This window comes from Homo sapiens, chromosome 3 (genome assembly GCF_000001405.40).
Source record: "Homo sapiens chromosome 3, GRCh38.p14 Primary Assembly".
Taxonomy (NCBI): Eukaryota; Metazoa; Chordata; class Mammalia; order Primates; family Hominidae; genus Homo; species Homo sapiens.
Window position 1 is genome coordinate 191,708,560 of NC_000003.12, and position 11,175 is coordinate 191,719,734.

Sequence of the window (11,175 nt, forward strand, 5' to 3'; positions counted from 1 at the left end):
AGCCAAGTAAATGGAGCTTGCTCCTTCCTGCGCCCAAAAGCATTCACTTCAGTTTCGGCATTTGCTTGCATGCTCCCTCCCATGGGGGGTAGACAGGCGTAGGCTGAGTAAATGAGGCACCCCCTATTGAAAGTCTCATGAAGGAGTCAAGAAAATATCCTGCTTTAGTGGCAGGATACAAAATCAAAACACATTTCAGTAGCATTTCTATACACCAATAATGAAATTGCTAAAAAAGAATTCAAGAAGGCATTCTCATTTACAATAGCTACACAAATAAAATAAAATAAAATATCTTGAATAAATGTAACCAAGGAGATAAAAGATCTCTACAAGGAAAACTATGATCTGCTGATGAAAGAAATTGAAGAAGATGCAAACAAATGGAAAGGCATTCCATGATCCTGGATGGGAAGAATTAATACTGTTAAAATGGCCATACTTGGCCGGGCGTGGTGGCTCACGCCTATAATGTCAGCACTTTGGGAGGCCGAGGCAGGTGGATCACGAGGTCAGGAGATCGAGACCATCCTGGCTAACATGGTGAAACCCCGTCTCTACTAAAAATACAAAAAATTAGCCGGGCGTCGTGGCGGGCACCTGTAGTCCCAGCTACTCAGGAGGCTGAGGCAGGAGGATGGCGTGAACCCAGGAGGCGGAGCTTGCAGTGAGCCGAGATCGCGCCACTGCACTCCAGCCTGGGCGACAGAGCGAGACTCCGTCTCAAAAAAAAAAAGTAAAATATAAAAAAAATAATGGCCATACTGCCCAAAACAATCTACAAATTCAATGCTATCCCTATCAAAAAACTAATGACATTTTTCACAGAAAATGCCACAGACATTTTCACAGAACAGAGAATAATTCTAAAATTTGTATGAAACCGCAAATGACCTGGAATAGTCAAAGCAATCCTGAGGGGCAGCGCACTACCTGATTTCAAAATATGGTACAAGGAAATTTTAGCCAAAACAGCACAGTGCTGGTGCAAGAACAGAGACATAGGCCAATGGAACAAAATAGAGACACGAGAAATTAATCCAGTTATTTAGAGCCAACTGATTTTCAACAAAGGCACTAAAGACATGCACTGGGGAAAGAACATTTTCAATAAATGATCCTGGGAAAGCTGCAAATCCATAAGTAGAAGAATAAAACTAGATCCCTATCTCTTCCTGTATACAAAAATCAGCTCAAAATGGATTAAAGACCTAAATATGAGATCAGATATGATAAAACTACTAGAAGAAAACAGGGGAAACACCACAGGATATTGGCCTAGGAAAAGATTTTATGGCTAAGACCTCAAAAGCACAGGCAACAAAAACAAATATAGACAAATGAAACTATATTAACCTAAGAATCTTCTGCACAGCAAAGGAAACAATAGAATAAAGAGACAACCTGTTGGATAAGAGAAAGTATTTGCAAACTATTCATTCAACAAATAACTTATCTATATAATACATGAGGAATTCAAACCACTCAACAGTAAAACAAAAACAAATAATCTCATTTAAAAGCAGACATGGGCAAAGGACATGGTTAGACATTTCTCAAAAGAAGACATAAAAATGGCCAACAGGTATATGAAAAGAAAAATACACAACATTGCTATTCATTAGGAAAATGAAAATCAAAACCGCAATGAGATATCATCTTACCTCAGTTAAAATGGCTATTATTAACAAGACAGAAAATTGGAAATGCTGAAGAAGATCTGAAAAAAGGCCATGCTTATTCACTGTTTGTGGAAATGTAAATTTGCACAGCCATTATGGAAAACAGTATGGAGATTTCTCAAAATACCTAAAATAGAACCATCATATGACCCAGCAATCCCACTACTAGGTATTAATCCACAGGAAAAGAAATCAGTTTATCGAAGACATACCTACATTCCTGTGTTGATCACAGCGCTATTCACAATAGCAAAGATATAAAATCAAGCTAAGTGTTTGCCAATGGAACAGTTTTAACTATAAGAAAGAAAGAAATCTTGTAATTTGAAGCAACATGAATGGAACTGGAGATCATTATGTTAGGTGAAATAATCCAGGAACATAAAGACAAGTATTGTATGTTCTCATTCATATATGGGAGCTAAAATATTGATCTTATGGAGGTAGTGAGTCGAATGATAGTTTCCAGAAGTTGGGAAAAATGTGTGTGTGTGTGTGTGTGTGTGTGTGTGTGTGTGTGGTGGGCCAGGGTGGGTGGGGGTGTGGGGAAGAAGAGAGTTTAGTTAATGGTTCCAAACATACAATTAGAAGAAAGGAATAAGTTCAAATGTACAATGGCAAAGTAGGATGACTATAGTAAATAATGTATTGTATATTTCAAAATAGCTACAAGAGAGAACTTGAAATGTTCTCAATACATGGTAATGATAAATACTTGAGGTGATGGATATTCTAAAGACCTAAGTTAGTCGTTACGCATTCTATGAATGTAACAAAATATCACATGTACCCCATTAAAATGTACAAATATTATATATCATACAATTTTTTAACTAATAAACAATTGTGGTATTTTTATATAATATATTCAAGTCAGCAACCAAAAGAAATAAATGAAAGCAGATAAAGTTCATACTACATGGTCCCTTTATATATAATTCTATAAAATGCAAATATAATTGACAAAGAGCAGATGAATGGTTGCTTGCTGAGGAGAGGAGAAGAGCTCAAAGGAGAAATGCAAAGGCATGGGACAATACTCCAGGTGCTGTACCTGAGCGAGTTAGAGAAAACGCCACACTTTGAGACGAATTAAGAGTACTTTATTAGCCGGCGACCGAGAGACGGCTAACGCTCAAAATTCTCTCAGCCATGAGGAAGGGGCTTGGTTAACTTTTATACCTTGGTTTAGGATGGGGAGGCGGGAGGGTCTAGTTAAAACAATTTTACAGAAGTTAAGTAGTCAAAAAAGTTAAAAGGATAAATGGTTACAGGAAAGTAAACAGTTCCAGGTGCAGGGGCTTTAAGACTATTACAAGGTGATAGACGCGGGGCTTTGGGCATTATCAATCAGACGAATTCCTGGAGACTGTGGATATAGCTTGCCAAGATGGAGTTTGTCTGGTTCTCTTAGCTAAGGGAGAAACAAAGCCAGGTGAATAAGGAAAAAACAAGGTTGGGCATTACAAGGGCAGTTATGAATATGTTCATTATCTTGACTATTTCAATGGATTTAGGAGTGTCTACATATGTCAAAAGTTATCAAATTGAGCTGGGCACTGTGGCACACACCTATAGTTCTAGCTAGTTAGGAGTCTGAGGTGGGATGATATCTCAAACCCCAGAATTCAAAGCCAGCCTGAGCAATGTAACAAGACCCCATTTCAAAAATAAATAAATAAAATAAAGAAGTTATCCAATTGTACACTTTAAATATTTGCATTTTACATCAAATATCTCCATAAAGCTGTTAAAAAGTAGCTTAAACAACTCTGCTCCATTGTTGCCTTGCTTTTGGTGTTGATTTTGAAAATTCTAATGCCAATATTCTTTGGCATTTGTAATTTATTTTTCTGAAGGTCTTGATAATTTTGCCTTTGTCTTTGAACTGTAACAGTTCTACTAGGATATGTTTCAGGGATAATTATTCTGGTCTAATTTTCCCTGGTTCCTTGAAAACCTTTTCAATGTCTTTATGTACTTCTGGCTTGGATCAGAGTTCAAAATATGGTCTCTGGTCCATTGTTTTGTTTTTCTTCTTCAGAGACTCCAGTAATACGAAAATTGTTGCTTCTTTGCCTGTCTTCCATGTCCAATATTTTAAAACTATTTTTATTTTTCTTTGTCATTTTCTTTATTTTTTTAAGTTAATTTTTAAAATTTGAGCCTATTTTCATCCTCCCTGAATGTTAATCACTTTTCTTATCTCAGATCCATGCAAGGCTGGACTTAAATGCTTCTGGGCAGAAATCCGGAACAATAAGGAGGCTCATATTGTCAACTTTTCTACTCTCATCGTTCCTGTTACACAATGTCTGAAAGAAAACATTTCAAACATTACATCAAGTTCTTCATTTGTTTCTTCTGTGAGTACAATTACAGTATATCAATAAGACAATGAAAATAGACTTTTACTGATAAATTTCCCAAAGCGTGGCTGAATATAACTTCTCTGATGTATTTTCCAGTGATTATACTACTTTGGATTTTGCTTCCTTTTTAAGGATTCATTTACTTGATAATGAATCCCTAATCTAATTACATTTATTTATTTATAAATGTTATATGTTTTAATATTTGAATGCATTGCCTAGATTGCAGAACATATGTTAAATTAAAAACAAAAAAGGATTTGATGAAAATAAAATGTCTTCTTTTGGTTAAGTCACCTCTTAAGTTCCCTCTTAAGGTGCAGGAAGCTAGAAAGAGTATCATTTCCACCATGACGATGACAACAAAGATCAGTAAAATTTGTCAAATAATAACTTTTTCTGTACCAATCAGAGAGCTGAGGTTTGCAGGGCAACCCAACTGGCCTAAAATCCAAGGAAAGACTGGATCTTCTAAAAAGACATTGTCAAACCAAAAAATTGCAGCAGACAATGTTAAAAAGGGAAGGAAGACTATAATTGAGGCTATTACAACAGAAGAGAATCAAAGTCTAAGCCCAAACTCAACTGCACTGAAATAGAGGGCAGGAGGGTTTCTAAGTGCTGGAATAAGCAAGTAGAAAAGTCATAGGCTATCATGTTTGCTAATTGATTTCATCTGAAGGAAACACTAACTTCTCAAATCCTTATAACAGAAGGTAGTTTGCAACTTGAAATAATGGCATCCACTGAAGTTACTCCCCACCCTCCCACCCCGGCTGGGAGTTAGGAGTGCTACTATCTTCCTTGATGATTATTATTCAAAGGGAGGGCTCCCAGGTCCTTGAGAAATAATATTCCTGGGTTATAAAACTGGCAATATGCTTTTAAAAAGTGTTACACTTCAAAGAGACAGAGAAAGAATTTACAATTACAAGTAATTTGGAGTAAACGTCCTAAGAAAAGAGAGGTCAGAGGCCCAGTCAAGAAGAAAGCAATCTAAAGTTTTGTCAAGCTGAAGAGAATAGTAAGGCCACCTTGGTCAGATGGGATGTAAACACTGGCTTACCTAGGGCAGACCCAGAGTATCATAAAAGCTGGGAAGAATCAGGTAAAATGTTCAGTAAATTGCTGAAAGCCAAGCACAACCTAGAATGAGACTATGGAACCCCTATGAGTTGAAGATATGGAGGGAATTGTCATCCACCTGCAGGCTCTTCTCTTCCACCTGGTCCCACCCTTGACACATGGGGATTATTGGGATCACAATTCAAGGTAGATTTGGGTGGGGACACAGAGCCAAACCACATCAATAGCCAAAACCTAACAGGTGTGAGGTCATATCTCATTGTGGTTTTGATTTGCATTGCCCTGGTGATTAGTGATGTTGAGCATCTTTCATCTGTCTATTGGCCATTTGCACGTCTTCTTTGGGAAAATGTCTATCCAAGTCTTTTGCCCATTGTTTAATCAGGTTATGTTTTTTCACCATTGAGTTGTATGAGTTTCTTTCATATTTTGGATATTAGCCCCTTATTACGGTTAATGATATGATTTGCAAATATTTTCTTTCACTTTTTAGGTTGCCTCTTCATTTTGTTGATTTTTTTCCTTTGCTTTGCAGAAGTTGTTCAGTTTGATGTAGTTCCATTTGTCTGTTTTTATTTTTGTGGCTTGTGCTTCTGATTTTATTGCCAAGATCAATATCAAGGAGCTTTTTCTCTATGTTTTCTTTAGGAGTTTTGTGGTTTCAGGTCCTAGGTTTAAGACTTTAATCCATTTTTAGTTGATTTTTAGCTGCTACGGGGAACTTAATTAGTTGATTATGACAAAAGCAGCCATTTCTCATGAGAGGTGTTGTTTCATCTGCCTTTTTTGTCAGACCTTGCATCACCTCTCCTGCCAGGAAGGTTTCCTTACCAGGAAGCAGTTGAGCAAATGTAAAACTAAATCCCTTTACAGCAAACCAAGCATAAGATGGGTGAATAAAGAAGTGACACAGGAAATTATTTTGGCCTCCTATAGAAAATTGTGATAATTAAAAGAGGAATGAAATGTAATGCACATATATTCTTATTGATGATGGTTAGGATCCTTGTTTTCACTGAGCATGCATTATATGATTGGCACTCTGCTTGATGATGTAAACATAATAGATAGCAAATAGGAACCTGTACTAATAATTTTATTAATACATATTTGAATAGCATTTCACAGCTTTATAAACAGTTTGACATAAATTATTTCATTTCACCCTCAAAAACCCCTTTGGGTAAGTAGACTAATCGTTTTTCTCTTCATTCTAGCACATAATTGTTATTTGCTGAATAAATTTTGAATTTATTCAGAAATGACTCAACATAATTCAATGTTAAGGATTCTTATCCTTAGGTCACACAGCCTTTAAATTATCCAAATAAGTCTTATGTCCATATCACTGGGTTTCATGTTTTTTACATTCTTCAAATTTGTCTACACTTGTTCTAGTTCTTCAGAATATTGTTCCATTAGACCTATTCCTGACAATACTTTATATCTTTAGCTTCTAACATAATGCCAATGAAGGAATGAAAATAGTATATTTATGTGCGTAGAAGCCTCTTATCTTTTATTGGAAAAATGTCTCCATAAAAGAAATACATCAGAATACAGGGCAATGTGTAAGCCAGTCATATAAATAAATTCATTAAGTATTCTAATATGTTAAAAAGAATGCAATTAAATAAATGTGATAGTCAGACTCTTTTAAATGTCCCCCAAATATTTCCCACTTGATCCCCAGAACCTGTGAATGTGGTGAAGTATCACACCCATGCTTATGTCATGTGACCCTAAGATACAGATATTATCCAGGTGGGTCTGATATAATCACAGGAAGCCATAAAGACAGAGCTCTTTCTTCAGCTGATGGCAGAAGAGGAAGTCAAAGAGATTTCATGCAGGAGAAGGATTCACTGCACTATAGCTGGCTGAAAGCAGGCCACATGAGAAGGAATGCAAGCAGCTATAGGACCTGAGAGAGGCCCCCATTTGGTGACCAACAAAGAAATGGAGATCTCAGCCTACAGCTGCAAGGGATTGAATCTACTCACAAGCAGAATTGCCCTGGAAGAAGAGTTCCAGAGCCTCCAGATAAAAGCCCAGGCTGGCCAATACCTTGATTTTAGCCATGTAAGAGCCTAATAATAGAACCTAGTGAAGTGTGTCTGTATTTCTGACTTACAGGACTGTGAGATAAATAGACATTCTTTTATGCCACTGTATTTGTGATAAATTGCAGTAATGTAAAGCATAATAGCCGTGGCCAGAGTTTTCTATAATAGTGGCCAGAGTTTTCTATAAAAATAGAATAGCAGTGGCCAGAGTTTTCCATAAAATGTTCATGGGACTTGTTTTCCTAATGAAATCAGTGTTAACTCTAGTACTTATCTATTGCTATTGTAGCAAATTACCACAAACTTAGTGGCTTAAAACAATATGAATTTAGTAGCTTTACAGTACTGAAGGCCAAAAGTCACGAATGGGTCTCACTGAGCTAAAATCAGGCAGAGCTGTTTTCCTTTTTTGAAAGCTCTAAAGGAGTATCCACTTTTTTGCCTTTCCAGCTTCTAGAGACCAGCTGTCTGGCCTCTGGCCCCTTCCTCTATTTTCAAAGCCAGCAATGGCTTTTCAAGTCTTTCTCACATTGCATGATTCTGATACTGACATTTCTGCTTCCCTCTTCCACATAAGGAGCCCAGGTGATTACACTGAACCCATCCAGATAATACAAAGTAATGTCTCCATCTCAAAATCAGTGAAATAGCAATCTTAACTTTATCTGCTTAATTATTCTTTGCCATTTAAATCACATATTCACAGGTTCAGGGAATTAGAATGTAGACATCATTGTAAAACTATTATTTTGCCTATCAGATAATATGTTTTAAAAAAGATTTGTTGGTCAGGCAATGAATTGTGCAGAAACTAGCATTGATAAAATATTAACTGCATTTTTTTTTCACTTATGGGTGAGATATTTACTTTTGAGTAAATTTTTTTCCTCAAAAAGAAAAGTTTAAAAAGATGATGAGCCTTGGCAGTCCATGAAATATTTTGAATACTTACATGTACAAAGTTACATGCCAAAAATGTCCAAATTATTGAGAACTGTGATGGAGGAATTTATAGTAACAAGTATAATTTCTTACATGGTATAAATCTTTATTGTTTGAAAAATACTTTCCCAGATATTATCCCATTTATTTATTACATCTGTGAAGCTTTTGCCTATTCTCCTGGCCTGTGTTTCTCTCCTTTCTCAGAAGCGTTTTAAAGATATTCTTGTTAGAGCATTCATAAGAGTGTATTTTGATAATTCATTTAATATTTGTCATTAGTGCAGGGGTGTCTCCATCTCATGAATGCTTGGGTAGTATCTGGCGCCTTTGTCTGCTAATACATGTTACTGATAATGAATGTGTCTTGAGTAAGTCTTTCCTAATAATTTATCCATAGAGAAAGAATAAACAGACTAGTGATGGTTGAGGTCAGCATTGCAGAACATGTTCCTCTGATTCTGATCTTAATATCTGAGCTAAACATATTAGTTAATCAAAATTTTAGCTAAAGTTTAAAAACAAACTTTATCAAGTAATATGACCACTTCTGTGATAGAATTTGTGTCAAAATCCACATTTATTCAACCTAAGTAATATTTAGCTAAATGATATACCTTTTTATATGGTATAGTTTTTTATTTATGTTAATTAATTTTATGTACCTACAAATATATATGCATATGTATGAATAAATATCTCCATTTCTGCTGAGATATAGCTTATAAGGCCACATATAAGTCCATTGTAGCTTAATCACTGTATTAAGGTATGATTGACATATAAGAAACATACATATGTAATGTCTACATCTTTATGAACTTAGAGATAAGTATACACCTGTGAGACCATCACCAAAACGATACGTTTTTAACAAGAATTTTCTGTTACAGTTTCTTTAAAAAAAAAAAAAGAAATCCCAACAGTCTTCATAATGACATATTGTCTCCTTTGCTTAATTATGTCTTTTCTCATTTTTAAAAATATGAAACATCTTTATTATTATTATCTATGTGTCTCAATATTCCTTCTTCTTGTTCCCACAGTATCTTGGCAGCTTAGATTTCCATAGGTTTAATTGTTTCCTTATTCTTTTTTCTTTTTTTTTTTTTTTTGTGAGACGGAGTCTTGCTCTGTTGCCCAGGCTGGAGTGCCGTGGTGCGATCTCTGCTCACTGCAAGCTCCGCCTCCCAGGTTCACGCCATTCTCCTTTCTCAGCCTCCCGAGTAGCTGGGACTACAGGCGCCCGCCACCACGCCCAGCTAATTTTTATTTTTTATTTTTTAGTAGAGATGGGGTTTCACCGTGTTAGCCAGGATGGTCTCCATCTCCTGACCTCATGATCCTCCCGCCTCGGCCTCCCAAAGTGCTGGGATTACAGGCGTGAGCCACTGTGCCCAGCCTGTTTCCTTATTCTTACAATATGAAGGCACAGAGAATGCTTCTGGGTGCTCTTTCGTCTTTTCCACATATTGTTTCCTGAGGAGATATTTCAGTGCCTTATGATACAAGAAAATTTAAACCACTATCTTTTTGTGATCCAAGAAATGTTTAAGGTTTTCTCTTCTTCAATCTTAAGATAGAAATGATAGGGTAAGTGTGGTGTTTAGTTTTTTGTCCTTGGCGATAGTTTGCTGAGAATGATGGTAGGTGGGAATTGAACAATGAGAACACATGGACACAGGAAGGGGAACATCACACACCGGGGCCCGTTGTGGGGTGGGGGGAGGGGGGAGGGATAGCTTTAGGAGATATACCTAATGTTAAATGACGAGTTAATGGGTGCAGCACACCAACATGGCACATGTATACATAATGTAACTAACCTGCACGTTGTGCACGTGTACCCTAAAACTTAAAGTATAATTAAAAAAAGAAAAAAAGAAATGATAGGGTAAGTGAACAATCACTGGATCAGGAGAAGGAAGGCTTACATCTTAGACTGAACTTCCTATTCACTAGTTATAGCGTCTTGGGCAAATATTATAGCCTTTCTGATCCTAAAATTCCATATCTGTAAGTTATAGACAATAGCTACAATATGTGTTAGAAATAATTTAAAAATACCCAAGTATAGAAGATGATATAATAGGTACCAACTTATTGACTACCTACTTAAAAAAATAAGAACTAACAAATATTGAAACATATAATTCTCCCTAATAATATTCCCTTCCATTTATTCATCGGGATAATCTTTAAAACTTCATTTTGGGCAGATGATTTTCATATGCGGGTTTTAATTTTACTACATATATATAAATTCTTAGACAAAATGTTGGTTTTTCATGTTACAGTTTATTTCAGTTTGTTTTGATAAATATTTAGAATTTTTCCGAAATTTTATTATTACAACATAAAAGTAAGCATTTTTGCACATCATGTCTTCCTGTGAATATGTGCAAGAGTTTTGAGAGGGTATATTGTAGGAGTAGAATTGATGGGTCATGGAGTATGCATGACTCACAATTTTAGTTAAATTTGCCAGATAGCATTCTACATTTGTTGTAACAATTTATACTCATACTACAATAAATAAAAATTCTCATTGTTTTACATGCTCACCAATATTTGGTTTGGGATATAAATATACCTCAATAGTTTATTTTTTTAAAAAAATTTAACATGTTTATAGAAGTATAATTGACTTAAATTATATATATTTAAAACATAGAACTTGGTAAGTTTTGACATATGTATGTGTGTGGACAGATAGATGGATATATAGATAGATATACAGAGACCTGTGAAAAAAATCACCATAGTCAACATAATGAATATATTTATCATTCCCAAGCATATCCTTATGCTCCTTGGGAAGCCCTTCCTCCTCATTTCCCTGACCCACACCAGTGTCCCAGATACCCACTGATCTGTTTTTTGCCATTATAGATTAGTTAGCATTTTCAAATATTTTATATAAATAAAATGACACTGTGTGCATTTCTTCCTGGTCTGGCTTTTTAAATCTAGTCTGATTATTTTAAGATTTATTCATGTTGTAGTCTGTTTGAATAGTTCACTCAG